Genomic DNA, 15,880 nt, shown 5'->3' with positions numbered 1-15,880 from the left:
CTGGCCTCAAGCAATCTGCCTGCCTTGGCTTCCCAAAGTGCTGGGATTATAGGCGCGAACCACCGTGCCCAGCCTCTTGCCTCTTTCTCCTACCCCAAAGCATCACTTTCTTTTGAGTCAAAAGCAAGTTATTCACTCTTCCTTTATAGGTAGAAATGTAATTTCTAAGCTCATAAAATATTTATAAGATGAGGAGTTTTTTCACTTTATATGTGAATATTAACAACTGTGGGAAAATGAATCATGCATAACTCTACTCCTTGGCTGTTCACAGCCATGTGCCCCCAGTCCAGGTGTTTGAGGTCTGGTCCTCAGGCCCTTCCTGGGCAGCCACAGTCAGGTAAAGGGATTAATTCTGCAACAGATGAGAATTCGCCCAGTCGGTTTCAGGCTTCTGCTAGATCCTGAGGAGCCAGAAAAGCTAACATGGTTCCCTGAAGCACTGGGTCTCAACACTTAATGGGCAAAAGGCTCACCTGGGGGCAAAGGAGGCATTAAAAGGCAGATTTCAAGACTCTAATGGCATTTTACAGAGGCAGTTTCTGGGCAGGGGCCAGAAACCAAAAAGGGTATTTTAAAGAGTCCCACAGCTGATTCTGCAGCAGTCCCATCCCTGGTCCTGGGCTGAGAAGCCCTGCTCAGTGTGGTGAGTGGATCTCAGGAAGGGGAAAGAGCTTCAGCAGACATGGGCATGCTACAGAGCAAATGCTGAACGTTTTGAGGTTGGAACAGAAACTGAATTTCTCTCACAGCTACGTGCATTTTCTTCCACGTGGCTTAATGTGCAGTCAGCAGCTTGGAAAAGAGTTCAAGCCTAAACACAGAGATTTTTGAGTTATTTACATGGAAGTGGTAAGTCATGGTGCAGATCCCAATCAGAAGTGAAGAGTCGTTTCTCAAGACAGGTGACACGTGATGTGGAGTGCGGGGAAGCACAGGTCAGGGGCCCGGTGACTTTGCCACTTGCTAACTTTGTGACCTGTGAAAGTCACTATATCTCACTGAGCCCGTTTCCTCATCTGTGAAATGATGAAAATAACAAAAACGTGCCCTGACATTGTTGTGAGGTAACAGATATGAAAATGCGTTTTCAACCGTAAAGCTCCATAATGAAGCACGGCCTTGTCACTCACATGCCCGCAGCCGGGCTCTGCCACCCGTCCCTTAGCTGTGTATGCCTAGCTTCTGCCCTTCTCAGAAACTGGGGTTCTTGTCTGTGCACTCAATGTCCCTCCACCATATAGGCCGAATTCCTTGAAAGCACATACCAGCCTCCATTTTTAAAACCTTGTTCTAAACTGAATGTTGGTATCCCCCAGAATGCACATGTAAAAGCCCTATCCCTTCAATGTGACTGTATTTGGAGCTAGGTCCTGTGGGGAAGTGATAAAGGTTAAATGAGGTCAGAAGGGTGGGGCCCTCATCCGGTGGAGCTGGTACCCTTACAAGAAGTAGAAGGGACCCCAGAGTGTGCTCTCTTCAGCACATGAGGACCCAGTGAGAGGGCAATCAACCACATGCCAGGAAGGGGAGCCTGCACCAGACCCTGACCCTGCCGGCATCTCGGTCTCAGACTTCCAGTTTCCAGAACTGTGAGAAAATACATGTCTGTTGTTGAAGCTCCCCAGTTTACGGGATTTTGTTATGGCAGCCTGAGCAGAATAAATGAAACTGAATGTATAGCACAGAACTGGTTACCCAGAAAGAGCTTAGGAAATGGCTCTTGAGTTGACTAGTGGGGGCGAGGGAGGCCAGGGAGTTCACAGATTGCTCCTCCAAAACATCATTTGTGTCAGACATTAGCTTCCTTCCAAAACAACAACATTTTCCACAAGTATGGTTAGTAGTAGCTAATTTTTTTTCTGGAGACAGAGTCTCACTGTGTCACCTAGGCTGGAATGCAGTGGCACGATCTCGGCCCACTGCGGCCCTCCGTCTCCTGAGTTCAAGCGATTCTCCTGCCTCAGCCTCCCGAGTAGCTGGGATTATAGGTGAATGCTACCATGCCTGGCTAATTTTCGTATTTTAGTAGAGAAAGGGGTTTCACCATGTTGGCCAGGCTGGTCTTAAACTCCTGACCTTGTGATCCACCCACCTCAGCCTCTCAAAGTGCTGGGATTACAGGCCTGAGCCACCAGGCCCACCTAATAGTGGCAAGATTAATCAATCTTGGGTTGCAGTTAATTTTCCTACACACTAGCAGGCAGAAGTGCTTGTGGGAGATGACAGACCTAAAAAGTATAGGGGTTGCCATGGACTGAATTGTGTGCCCAACAAAATTCATATGTTGAAGCTCTACTCCCAATATGCTTGTATTTGGAGATAAGACTTTGAAGAGATACAGCAGGTTACAGAGCCCATAAGGGTAGGGTCCTAATATGATAGGATTGGTGACTTTATAAAAAGAGGAGGGGGAGAGACAGACTGTCCCCTACCCCACAAGTGCTTGCACCAAGGAATAGCCATGTGAGCACACAGTGAGTAGGTGGCTGTCTGCAGGCCAGGAGGAAGAGCCCTCACCAGGAGCTGAACAGTCTGGCACCTTGATCTTGAATTTCTCAGCCTCCAGAAGCATAAGAAATAAATTTCTGACAAAGTTGCCCAATCTGTGGTATTTTGTTATGGCAATCTGAGCTAATACAAGGGGAATGAACAGGACTTGAATGACTGGAGACTGTAATTACAAATAATGTAAGAACCTGAAGAGGAAAAAAAAGGAATTAATTTTAATCATGTGGATTGCCCACAATATTTGGGATTTGGGATTTTAAACTCAAATATTTGGAATTTTAAACTCTTTGTGGTTAGTTTAGCCAAGTTTTCTTCATTTGCTGAGTATAATTTTAAAAAATTGCAATGTAATTCACAAACCATAAAATTCACCCTTTTAAAGTGTACGATTTGGTGGGTTTTAGTAATAATCTCTATTACTATGTTTTCTTTTCCTTTTCTAATAATCTGGATTACTTTTAAGACAGTTCTGAACAGAAGAGGGAATTTCCTTCATACAGCTAAGACTTTCTCATAGGGAGCCACTTGTGATAATAAAATCCTCATCACACCACAGACACAGAACTGTCTTTGGGCCGCGGGAAAGTTGGTTGTGTCTGCTGCAGCCAGTGGGCTGCGGTTCTCACCCAGCGTGGTCAGGAGCAGGCCCACTATCCCCGGGTTGGCGGCCAGCACCGGGCCCACGCCCGGGTGGATGGCAATGTTGGCCAGCACACGAGTCAGCTTGATGAGCACGTCCTCTGCCTCTGACGGCGGCCTCTGCGCCCTGTGCTGCTCGCCTCGTTGGCCCACCGGCTTCTGGGAATGCAGATCCAGCTGATGGAACGTCTGGAATAATGACAGCAGAGTTTGGATGCTCCCTTTCTCTTTGGAAAATTGTTCACGAGCCTGGTTATTTTTTGCCGTCAGGTTGCCAAGAATAAAAACAACACGGACGACTAAATCCTGCAATAAACGAAAGACAGAGTCAAAAGTGCAAAGGGGGCTGGAACACATCGTGGGGAAGAAGATAGTATTTAATTTATTCACAATTGCATTAATAGTAAAATGGAACACGTCTGGCTTCGGCTCACTTGTACAGTATTTGATTCTCAAGATCAGTGCAAAGTGACAAAGGAGATTAAAAGCACTTGGCAGCAATGAAAGAATACAAACTGATTGATGTGATCAGCAACGTCTATTACCTTCAGATCCTTCATCTTAAATTCTGGCTCGCCTTTCTTTATCTCCTTCAGAGAACAATTAGTTGAGTGGGACAGCATTACTAAAAATGAGTCATGTAAATCTAAGTTTTGACAATAGCCGGTTTCTTGAAATTCCAAATCTTTCCTTAAAATTTCGTCTCCTGCTGAAGTATGGTGTTTTTGAATTTGGGCAGGATTGACACTTGGGACTGGATAATTCTTTGTTGTGGGGAGGTGTCCTGTGCATTGTAGAGCGTTTGGCAGCACACCTGGCCTCCACGCACTAGATGACAACACCTCTCCAGATGTGACAGCCAAAATTGCCCCCTGTGGAGAAGCGCTGTGTTACGTAGCTACACTACTTTAAGGCAGTACCTACCAATTCTTACCCAGGGTGGTGGTTACATGAGTGACACCTTTATAATTACTTGCTAAATTGTGCATACCCGTTTTATGCACTTTTCTGTATATAGGCTATATTTCACAATTTTAAAATGTTTTTACAAACCCTAAGCTGGGAACATTTTAAAACTAAACAAGATACAAAAATCACTGTGTTTTTAGTTTGACAACAATGTCCACATATGAGTCCAGATCAGCCTTCCCCATGGGTGTCAATGGAGGTGACCTGGGAGGAGGAGATTTTAAAGGAATACTCATTGGAGGGCTACAACTGGCCTGGATGGTATTATATCTATATCTATATATACAGTGCCAGGCACTATGCCATTTTATAGACAAGAAACTAGGGCCTGGAGAAGCTGCCCAGGTCACATGGCTGGTGAAGGGTAAGGTCAGGATTTGATTCCAGGGTGACCCAGACTCTAGTGTCCTTTCTACACCAACATCTGCTTCCCACACAGGGTGTCGTGTACTTTTTCTCCTCCTTTGCCTTCTTGCAGAACAGTTAAAGAATTATCTCCTTTTAAAAGCAAATATGTCACCAGAAGGGACGACCATAAACGTGACTTTGTTGATCAGATCAGTAGTTAGCAGTAGCCTTAAGAAAAGGGGACAAAGGGCCAAGGGCTGGGCACGTTTTCATCGAGGAGCGCATGTCCAGGTGCGACGCCAGGGGCCCCGTGAGGGGCGTCGGGTGTGGCCAGGAAACTGGGGAGGATTGGGGGCAGAGTACAACTTTTGGATTTACCTAGGCCTTCTCTGCCAATACCAACTTGTTCCTGCTTGTTCTTGCTAAAAAATCCAAAAGTTTTCCCTGACACTCACTGGCAGAGAAGAAGCGAGGCTGCTGCTTGCACAACCGGAAACCATTTGCCAAACATTAAGGAAGGACAGCAGCTAATGCTACAGCAAAAACTGGAGATGGTCCAGGAGAGAGTTCATTTTCGGAGACATTTCAACTCACAGCATTCAACCAGCCATAGTGGTCGTCCAATTAGGAGACCCTGCTCCTGACTCCACCCCGGGAAATAGAATGTTAGTCCTCAGGTAAGTTCTTAATGCCAGGGCCTAGGAATACACACACATAACCAAGTCTGAAAGTCAGTGCTATGAAGAGCTTCTCACCTACTGAGAAGACAAGGCTAACATATGTGGGGAAACGGCAAAGACTAAAACGGCAAAGGAAGAAGCGAGACGTGAAAGGGGATTATGAGTCCCAGGTCACAGCCAGGCAGGCTGGACTCACACAGATGCTTGGCCTCTCTGTACATCCATTAACTTGTTTGCAAAATGGAGACAAAATTCTTACTGTGAGATCACATGAGATACAACAGGCAAAGCACAAATTGTACTGAGCAATGATTCGGGCATTTCTGTGAACTCTTTTCATGTCCTATCAATAAAATGCTAACTAATAGCAATAAACTCAGTGGCACAGGCCTAGTAGTCTCACCAGAGTTTTGAAAAGAGGATGCTCTGGGAACAGTGTCAGGTTCAGCAGAGTTATCATGAAAGAATCTGAGTTCAACCTTGGAAGCTGTGAGATGCAGAGATATGTGGAAGGGAGCATGGGGTTGGGCAGGCAGCAGAAGACAAGTCTCTCTCTTTTTTTAACTTTTTAGGCTCAGGGGTACATGAGCACTTTTGTTACATGGGTAATCTTGTGTCATGGGGCTTTGGTATGCAGATTATTTCGTCACCCAGGTACTAAGCTTACTATCCAATAGTTATTTTTCCTGATCCTCTTCCTTCTCCCACCCTCCACCCTCAAGTAGGTCCCAGTGTCTGTTGTCCCCTTCTTTGTGTCCATGAGTTCTCATCGTTTAGCTCCCACTTATAAGTGAGAACTTGTGGTATTTGGTTTTCTGTTCTTGCGTTAGTTTGCTAAGGATAATGGCCTCCTGCTCTATCCATGTTTCTGCAAAGGACATGATCTCACTCTTTTTTATGGCCGCATGGTATTCCATGATGTATATGTACTACATGGTCTTTATCCAATCCACCATTGATAGACATTTACGTTGATTCCATGCCTTTGCTATTGTGAATAGTGCTACAATCAACAAATGTATGCATGTGTCTTTATGATAGAATGATTTATTTATATTCCTTTGGGTATATACCCAATAATGGGATTTCTGGGTCAAATGGTTCTAAGTTTGTTTGTTTTTTTTGTTTTTGTTTTTGAGACAGAGTATTGCTCTGTCGCCCAGGCTAGAGTGTAGTGGTGCAATCTCAGCTCACAGCAACCTCCGCATCCTGTGTTCAAGTGATTCTTCTGTCTCAGCCTCCCAAGTAGCTGGGATTACAGGCATGCACCATCAAACTTGGCTAATTTTTGTACTTTTAGTAGAGACGCGGTTTCACCATGTTGGCTAGGCTGGCCTCAAACTCCTGACCTCAAGTGATCCACCCACCTCGGCCTCTCAAAGTGCTGGAATTACAGGCGTGAGCCACTGTGCCCGGCCTGTTTTTAGTTTGAAGAGGATTAGTTTGAGAGAGCATCTGGGACTATCTCCTTCCTGGGCCAGGGGTCATCTTCTCATTCTTTAATTACCTGACTGTTCCCTAAAGAAGCTATGGGATATTTATGGGCCTTAAGTCTAAAACAAGCACACACAATTTGATTATAATACTTGAATCCCATTTCACATAAAACAGAGGGTTACTTCAAGTAATGCCTGGTGGCAAAGGCCCTGCCCTGGGCTCTGAGTTGGTAGCTTCTCCTCCACCCTGATCAGACCCAACAGAGTAGCAGAAAATCAGTTTTCCAACCAGGACAGAGGGTATTTCCAAGAATTAAGCATCTTAAAGAAGAACTTCATCTGATATTTTCTAAGCTGAGGACTATAAACAGAATTTTTGTGTGAACTTTGATACATGTTTCCTGCTGAAAGACTATATGAATTCTAGTTCTGAAAATCCTAATAATTAATAACAATAACAGCACAGTAACAGCAGCAACTAACACACAGTACTTATTAGTACTCATGATGTGCCAGGCATTGTCCTAAGCATTTATATATACAAATTAACTAATTCACTAAAAATGATAACTTCCATTTCTTTAACCTGAATAAAGCTATTCACAGTATCTTTTACAATCTAAACCGCCATCTCCCTCGCACATTTGATAACAGTGATGTTAATAAGTTTTGGACTTCACCATGTTCCTGGAATTGGGCTCTCTTCTCCCATTTCCATAAAAGCATGTTAAACAAGACAGGAAAGGCATTATGAGTGATTTTAAGTGATTGCTTATTTAATTAATATTTGCATTTTGTACCCTAAATTGTTACCAGGACTAAACAATTTACCTCCTAAAATGTCATGGCATCTTCTAAGGGTGCTGGATTGTTTTTTTTCTTCCTAGGCCTTGCCGTTTCACCTCCATCTACCTGGTCTTGCTTTTCTCTGAGTCCAGCTCAGTAGGCTTCTCCAGCCCTGTCCCACCTCCAGCTATCCGTGTTGATTTGCCAGGATTTAGATCAGATCCTGGTAAAAAATAGATTTCCTTAGTGGTCATCATTCTTCAAAATTCAAATGACCTCTCCCCACTGTCACATGCAGTCTAATCTGGGAAGACTAAGTGCTGCTTTTCTTTTTCTAAAAATTCCCTCAGGCCCCTTCCTCTTCTAAAATTCTTCGATTCTGTCATCTCTGTAGGTCCTAACGTGGCCGAGATTAGTAAGCCTCCAGTGCAGAAGAAGAAGCTCTAGGCTGTAGGGCAGGAAGAGTTAACACTGTTATAATACTGCTTTTCCTGCTTCAGATGGAAAAGGAGGGGGTGGTTCCTGGCAGCCGCGGTGCCAACTGAAGCATGGCATGCGAGATCAACAAATGGGATGGCAGATTGCGCCGTCTGCAGCACCAAACTTCCAGCAACTGCTATCTCTGCTTACTGTTTTTGTCCTGTTTTTCAGGGTTAGCTAAGGCACTTTTTCTTTTCTTTTTTTCCCCTCCCTTCTTAAATATATTCTACATGGACCTAGGGATCCTGGAAGAGGCCAAAATAGAAGCCATCTCACAGGAGGTCAGCAGAGGTAGTGTTTTCTTATCTCCATGCCAGGGCTTGTCTTGACTCATCTGGAATCCTGAAGAAGGCTGAGCAAGTCAGCTTTCTAGGGCCCCTCTCCTCACCATGGGTGGCCTCTGCTCCCAAACCGTGCACTCCAAGGTCCTCCCTACTGAACCAAGGTCTGCGTTGGGCAGGATCATGGAGAGATTATCTACTGTTCCACAGCCCGAGCCATCTCAAGTCTATAAAATATTACTTAATATTCTATAAAGATTTGTAAAAATTAAACCAAGGCCAAAATCATCTATTTAGAGAGAGCACCAATTCCACAGCGGAAAAGGATTTCATCAATATGCAGCTCTCCTTTGAGGCACACATTCTCTCCTTTATTCTTAGACAATATCTGAGAATCATCTATAAATTAACACTCCATTTTTATAGCATTTTTATTAAATTTAACACAATGTTGCATATTCATATCATAACTATGTGATTTTGAAATAGCAAACTGAAGATGAATCAAGAGAGAGCTTTTTTTTTTTTTCCTAAAGAAGGCAGTCTAGTATAACCAGTTCATATCGACTTTCTAATTTTGCTTAAAACAGAATCAGCCTAGCAACAGCTACGGCCAACCAGAGCTTAGACAAACAGATACACTTAGAGGAAGAAGACTGACCTCAACAGAGCTTTCCAGTTAGAGCCTGAGGGATATTGTCATTAGTTTCGCAGATGTTATGCCCCAATGAGCAAACAAGTTACTCAATCTGAATGGGCCCCACAAGCCTGTGAATGAAATTACTTTAACTGGAATAAAACCAGGAACAGGGCACTGCTCACCAGGATGGTCTATGTCCAGTTCCAATGGTGGCAGCATTGGCAGTAGCTGTTGCATGTTACTTTCCATGGGAGAGACATTGGCCTAAAGCCAATGAAAGACATTTTTACCCCTATTTAGAGATGTTGAAACTGAGGCTTCAGGAGACTCATTAAGTAAGCCCAAAGTCAAACACTGGTGAAGAGAAGAGGCAGGACTTGAACAATCATCTCTGTACACACAGATGGTTTCCAAAACCACCTTCAGCCCAACTCCTCATTGCTAATCATCATCATCTTCCCAGTCCCCCAGCCCCAGCATCTCTGATTCCTCTCTATCTCATCCCCTCACCAAGCAGTCACCAAGTCTCCTCGACTCTGTCATCTCAAAATGTTCCCCAGCTCCCTCCTGCCCATGCCGACCTGGGCTAATCTGCCTGTAGACTGTTGTCAGAGGCCCTTTCCAGGCTCCTCCCTCTGCCATCAACCCTAACACCACTTCTTAAAGCACAGCTCTTCCCTTTGCTCAAAAACATCTACTGCCTATTAAATGAATGTCAAAGCCAGCATCTAATGCATCATCTGGCCCCACGCAACCACTTCTTTGCTACCTCACATTACTCTCTGCCCATGGCCAGCCACAGTGAACACATTCCTCCCCGACTCCCACACCCTTCCTCCCGTACCTTAAAATAACTCATGTGCATAATGTTGACTGTGGGGAAGAAACAATATCAAGCTGTCACAGAAAGAATAAACTATGTTCAGCAGACTCCACTTAGGAGGGAACTGCTTCCACTAAGTAAAGGAACACATTTTAGAAAAATTTGTAAGAATGGGTTGAAATGGAAGGGGATGTAAATATACTTAAAATCCGAACTCTCTATTAACCAGAAAATTAATCAAAATACCCTGTTTAAAATATGGTTACAAACTTCTCGTGCCTGAGAGCTGAATCAGGATTTACAATTTGCTTTGTTTATCCAACTTACCACCCTCAAACAAAACTCAAACATTAATTGAGCTTGCAGGTGGCTTGAAGAACAGATAAATTTTAGCAAACTGGAAGACAGACTGTGCACTACTGCAAAAATGCTAACTGACCATAGGGCACTGAAAGTGGGTCAAGAGTTTGCCTACGTGTTTAACTAGATAAAATCGAAGAATCTGAAATGTTGGAGACTCAAAGCCAAGAATCTAAGTAGAAAATCATTTTAAAACCAGAAGAGATTACGCTTGATTCCTCCATCCATCTATCTGTTCTATCAGCAATCATTTATTGAGCACCCACGATATGCCTCTGAATGTCACTCAAAAGTACCAGGCCAATGCTAGAATTTCACTGTGCTAAGTTCTTTTTCAAGCCAGCAGACATAAATCAGGCATTTGGGTTCCGTGCTGAGCGGGGTAAGAGCCAGTTCCACAAGGGCAAAGCCGGCAGGAGCTGGAAAGAATGAACAAGCTAAGGGCGTATTGTACAGCCTGCCCGGTCAGGGGCGCAGACCAAGGCCAAGGCTGAAAAAAGGAGCAAGCTCAGCCAAATGCTCTCAGCACCCGCTGGGAATGTGCCTGCAGAGGGGCTGGGAAGACAGCCATAGGGCGTGCTCCTGTCAGGCAGGAGGCAGAGGACAAGCTGGGAGCCAAGTCGCCCTACAAAGGCACCAGGGGAAGGGGTGGGGGCACCTTCCTAACCAATCCTTGATGGCCCAAAGAGGATAGCGGGGAAGAGAAGGCACCTCTCTGGAATGCTGAAAGGCTGTGGTCACATTCAAGATGAACAGCTAGAAAAATGGAGGTGGTTTTGCTTTCAGCCCACACTGTTCAGACATTCCAGCTCTCATTTCTGATACCACGATGGCTAAGCATTCCAAATCAGTGTTCACTGTGCATACATGGCTGAAGACAGCAGCTTATGCCTATAGAAGTCTAAACAGAATGAGAGAGGTAGGACTTTAAAAGCAGCACAACCAAGAATGAGTCTGGCAGTTCCCAGGGTTTGCAAAGGCTCTGACGACAGTCCTGCTGCATCTGGAAGCTCTGTGGTAAAAGAAACAAGAAATTAACCGTATCTAAACGTGGAGAGAGTTAAATGGTCAATGGACACATGTGATAGGAATGTAGACAAAGGTTGTTCTTTTTGATCATGACCTTTGCAAAATATTGCCAGTCTTTTGAAAGTCTTATTTGAGGCATTTTACCAGATCTCTTGCCTAGTAGATATTTACAGAAGAAATGGGGAAAATCCCTTCATGTTCTTCCAAAAAACAAACCCAAATGTATTTTCCTGAGATGCTAAATGTAGCAACACTGACGTCAGAGGCGCCTCCTGAGGCAGGCTCTGCCTCCCAAAGGCTGATAGCAACCCCACTCCCTCCTTCGTTATTAAGCCCATCTGCTTGCACATTTGTTTTGTACCAAAAGCAGTTTACACCATAAAGCAGACAATATGTGCACATTTCTTAAATGAGATTTGTCATTTAATTGAATTTTGGCCAGCATTTTTAATAGATATTTTACCTAACTCTAAAGTTTAGCTTTCATACGGCATTAAGCCGAACGAGAGGCTGTTTCATCTCAGTTTTTGTGTGTGTGGGAACTGGAGTTACTAGTTGCATCATGGATCTTGGACAAATTAACCACACAGATATGAGCCAAAGAAGTTTCCCTTGCTCTCCCTGCGGAAGTCATTTATGAGAGCTGGGAGGAGTAGATGCCTTTTCATTGAGACTGTTGGTGAGCCAGAAACCCAGGCCATGCACATAACCATCACATACAGATGGAAACGGAGGCCCACTTCACTGAGGGCCATTATGCAAACAGAGGGGGTGTAAAGCGGACCATATTCTAAGTGAACTCATCACTCTCAATTTAACTGTTGCAAACTACAACATTTAGATATGGGTATATACTGAACTGTCTCAAAACACGATATCTGCAGGAATTATTTTAAAGATGAAATTTGGTGCTTGTTTCACTAACAAATGAATCAGCAACTCGCAGCTTGTCTAGCCAACTGAACTGAAGGCACCCTCCCTTGGACAGGCGGCTCTAAGGGTCCTGAGGAGTAGAGCCTGTGCCCATCTCTCCTGAGGGAGCCACTCTGGCCAGTGCTTGAAGCCTCATCAGTGTGATGAGCACCTTTTTCAAACTAGATTTGGTCCCAGGACTTATTTTGACACAAGTCTGGCAGCGAAAATTTGTGGAAAAGACTAATGTACCATCCTGTGTTCTCCAGCTAAGAAATCATTCCTCAGCTGCCTGTGCAAAAGGCAAAGGGCCAGTGGTTCTTACCACTTACTGGGAAGCCTACATTAGCACCTGGTGGGTCTTGTCAACTTGGTTCCTACTTTGTCAGGAAGAATCACTGTCAGCTCTGCTCCTGTAGAGAAAGACTGACTCTGTGTGGCTGATTTGATTAATCACTTTAAAATCTTTTGAGGTTTTATGGGAACCCCTCTGCTGTCAATACTGGAGAAAATGGTTTTAAAGAACCACCTTAATAACTTAAACCATAGGGTCTCAAAACCTGCTGTTCATTTGAGTCACTTGAGAAGTCTCTTAAAAATAGGTTCTTGGGCCCCATCCCAGACCTGAATCAGAATCTCTCTGGGTGGGGCCTGAGCACCTGTATTTCTATTTTTAATTTAAAAAAATTTTTAATTAAACTCAAATTTTAAGTTGAAAATAGGTTTAAGGGTTCCTTTTGTTTTGTCTTGTTTTGTTTTTTTGAGACAGGGTTTCACTGTGTAACCAGGCTGGAGTGCAGTGGCTCGATCTCAGCTCACTGCAACCTCCTTCTCTCAGGCTCAAGTGATTCTCCTGCCTCATCCTCCCAAGTAGCTGGGATTACAGGCATGGGCCACCAAACCCAGCTAATTTTTGTGGGTTTTTTTTTAATTGTTGTTGTAGAGACAGAGTTTTACCATGTTGCCCAGGCTGGTCTCGAACTCCTGGCTTCAGACGATCCATCTGCCGCAAAGTGCTGGGATTACAGGCCAATCTGAGCCACCTGTGCCCAGCTAAGCACCTGTATTTTTAAAGCTCCCCAGGCAAATCTGATGATAAGCCAAGTTGGGGAGCCACTCTGATTTAAATCAAGAAAAAATTAGAAATCTCACCACTTGAATACCCATTATTTGTCTTTATAATAATGCTTTTTAAAAAATAATATGAATTCTTGTAAATATAAATCCTTATTCCTCATCAATACCCCTCACAGCACAGTTGTATAGAAAAGTGAAACCACACCACAACCCCTCCTGTCGATGGACTTGATTCAGACTTTATATACTCGAATATATAAAGTATATTCAGACTTCTCATATGTTGAAATCAGACTTTACCTTGACAAGAGAAAAAGAATGTAAAAATAATGGAAAATTTTGTGACTTTTGGTATCTTCTCATGTAATTCTAATTTTTATCCCCTTTAATGGAAAACAACAGCAGATGGGGAGGAAATATTCTACTTCTTCCAACAGCAAACGGCCCTGGTGCTACCTGGTTCAAAACAGGATTTCCCCCTCTGTGGACGGCAGCAGCGACCGGCAGCTTCCTGTGAAGCTCCCCATCCGCTGATAAGATCAGTTCAAGAGGCATGTGTAGGTGACATTTCATTTATCACTATAAAGGGTTTTTTTCTTTTCTTTCTTGTTCATTTTAGATTTCTGTTTCTATGTTTTTTGAAAACGCGATTAGCCATAAACATGATTTGATTTAAAAGTGTGTCTTAGAAAAATGAAACCTATGCTGATCCTAAATGTAGTCCTCAGGCTTTCAAGACAGAAGCAATACTAACCTCCCAGAACAAAAACAGGGAAGGTCTACTGACTCTTTCTGATTGTCTAATCACTTGGCAATGGCTGTGTATATTAAGAGACTACAAAGCTTCCAGAGTATTTCTCTACAACCCAAGTTAGTCTTGCAGGGATGTTTCCAGGAGCTGAAAAAAAAAATAATTATAGGAAGTAATAATTCTGTTTAAATAAGTTGCTGGAAGGCTGATTCAGGTCTCCACAATCAGTTCCAAGCCTCAACATTCAAGTAAATCCCAGTTGCGGCAAAGTGTCTAACCACTGCAGATCAATACACTCACATCAGAACATTAAGAGGAAAAACAAATCATATTTGATCGGCCACCTGGGACATGGGAAACATGAAACTAAGATGCCATGCTGGTCTGAAGGGATTCTGTTTTGCTTTTTATGGCAGCCCACCCATGTGAAAATTGTGGGAAAAAAATTCTTATTATTTCTTCCTCCAAACTAGGAAGAAGAAAGTACATATTTAAGGAAGAAGCACTCGAGTACTAGAAAAAATATTTTTTAACACCTTACAGGTGCCAAAGCATTTCACACACTCAAAATTCTTTCTTCCAGCACTTATGAGCTTACTTTGCCAAGCATCATCTCGGTCTATCAGGACAAAGTCTGTGTTGTTTAGGAACTCGCAGTAGTGGATAGGGCAGCTGCATAATGATAACCATTTGGAGAACCACTAAAGAAATGTTTATGAAGACTTATGGGAATTTCTGGTTAATGATTTTAGGAAGTGGTTGGGACACACAACTACTTCCTTGTAGCCTAAACTCTTTCCCTGCTCTTCTAAAATATTTTGGTTTTGAGGAAAATATAAATTATGTATTTTTCTTACTGGAAAAAAATCAAAGTAATGACTTAAAACTACAACATTTCAATCTTTATTATAAGTAAAAGTATTGAGTCAAAGTATAATTTTTTAAAAGTTAAAAACATGACTCTCATGGGCTCATAAAATGAACACACTTCAAAAGTATTTAACTCATTAATGAGGGGGCCGATACCACGGTAAACTTTGTTCCAAGCACAACTGAAGAACCGGGAATTTACAAGCACTTAAAATTTCTGGGTTATATACAAACCTGACAAATGCCTACAAAGTAATAAAACCATAACTTTTGAGGTGATCCTGTCTACCAGATTGAAACCTACAAATTAACATGTAACTTTATTGTGTCTGGTATCTAACCAAATAGTAAACAGCAAGTTCAAACACCAATATGTTGGCCTAGGGAATTAATCCCTGATTGGGTCATTAAACAATGCCCTGGCATGCCTTTGTCAGGACATGCCTCCACCTATTCCATACCTTATCGCTAAGATTTGTATAGTTTTTCTTAATAATAGTGAAGTGGTTAAGGCCATAGGCATACTGCTTGGGTTCTTAGCTCTGAGTGTACTAGCTGGGGGTATCAGCTATGTTAAAGTCTTAAAAATGTTGCACTGATGAGGGAGAAATTGACTGGTCTTGCTTGGGAGGCCTCACAGGGGAGCAGACAAGAGAGCTACAACTTGAAATATGGAATTGGCTTTGAAGAGGAGAAGTCACAGAGAAATTTCATCAGAGCCCCTTAGGCTCTTCTCATTAAGTCTGTTCATATTCAATTTTATTTTAAAGTTTTTAGTCTAAAATATCTGTCTGTCTGTCTGTCTGTCTGTCTAGCTAGCTAGCTAGTGATCAATGGCTCACTGCAACCTGGGCTCAAGCAATCCTCCCGCCTTAGCCTTCTAAGTAGCTAGGACTACAGACATGTGCCACCACGCACGGCTAATTTTTTGTTTATAGAGATGAGGTCTATGTTGCCAGTCTTCTCTCTCTCTCTGAGATAGGATTTCACCTTGTTGCCAAGCTGGACAACTAGTTTCACTAGAGGCTTGCACCACCACGCCTGGCTTATGTGTTGATACTGGAGTTAAAAAGAAATTATTTAGGCAGATAGTGAGGGTAAGGAGGTCCTCGGTAAGGTTTTCCTTTTAATGAAAAGCAGCCCCCAAATAATTTCTTTTCTAATAAAGAGCAGCCTGTAAAATCAAGCTGCAGACATAGAAAGGCAAGCTAGAAGCTTCCACGGGTGAATGCTGCCAGCTGTGCCAATAGGAAAAAGAATACCTGGGACTAGGCATGTCCACTATGGC

General features: G+C 43.2%; 1 protein-coding gene across 17 annotated transcripts in view, besides 2 other annotated features; it reads right to left on the bottom strand.

Annotated features, from left to right (window-relative positions):
- ARMC2 (armadillo repeat containing 2) overlaps positions 1–15,880 on the bottom strand; it is a 204,619-nt gene that overhangs the window by 96,552 nt on the left and 92,187 nt on the right. For 14 of the 17 annotated variants that reach the window (XR_007059340.1, XM_047419396.1, XM_011536168.4 and 11 more), the window contains one exon: positions 3,138–3,456. Coding sequence is in view for 15 of the 17 variants with exons in the window: in XM_047419396.1 (XP_047275352.1) it covers positions 3,138–3,456 (319 nt within the window). In the remaining 2 variants the exon portion in view is untranslated. Of the gene's footprint in view, positions 1–3,137; positions 3,457–7,414; positions 10,966–12,878; positions 13,870–15,880 lie in introns of those variants that run through there. The other 3 variants (XR_007059341.1, XM_011536167.2, XM_017011351.2) reach the window with 3 other exon arrangements.
- Positions 4,764–5,265: an enhancer, noted in NCBI's record as "H3K4me1 hESC enhancer chr6:109272427-109272928 (GRCh37/hg19 assembly coordinates)". NCBI's record gives its function as "activates a minimal SCP1, AML or CMV promoter by ChIP-STARR-seq in naive H9 embryonic stem cells {active_cell/tissue: H9 hESC(naive)}" and the evidence as "EXISTENCE:reporter gene assay evidence [ECO:0000049][PMID:30033119]".
- Positions 10,572–11,128: an enhancer, noted in NCBI's record as "H3K4me1 hESC enhancer chr6:109266564-109267120 (GRCh37/hg19 assembly coordinates)". NCBI's record gives its function as "activates a minimal SCP1, AML or CMV promoter by ChIP-STARR-seq in primed H9 embryonic stem cells {active_cell/tissue: H9 hESC(primed)}" and the evidence as "EXISTENCE:reporter gene assay evidence [ECO:0000049][PMID:30033119]".

The sequence above is a fragment of the Homo sapiens genome, chromosome 6, assembly GCF_000001405.40.
Source record: "Homo sapiens chromosome 6, GRCh38.p14 Primary Assembly".
NCBI classification, from domain to species: domain Eukaryota; kingdom Metazoa; phylum Chordata; class Mammalia; order Primates; family Hominidae; genus Homo; species Homo sapiens.
This window is presented reverse-complemented; position numbering and strand designations above follow the sequence as displayed.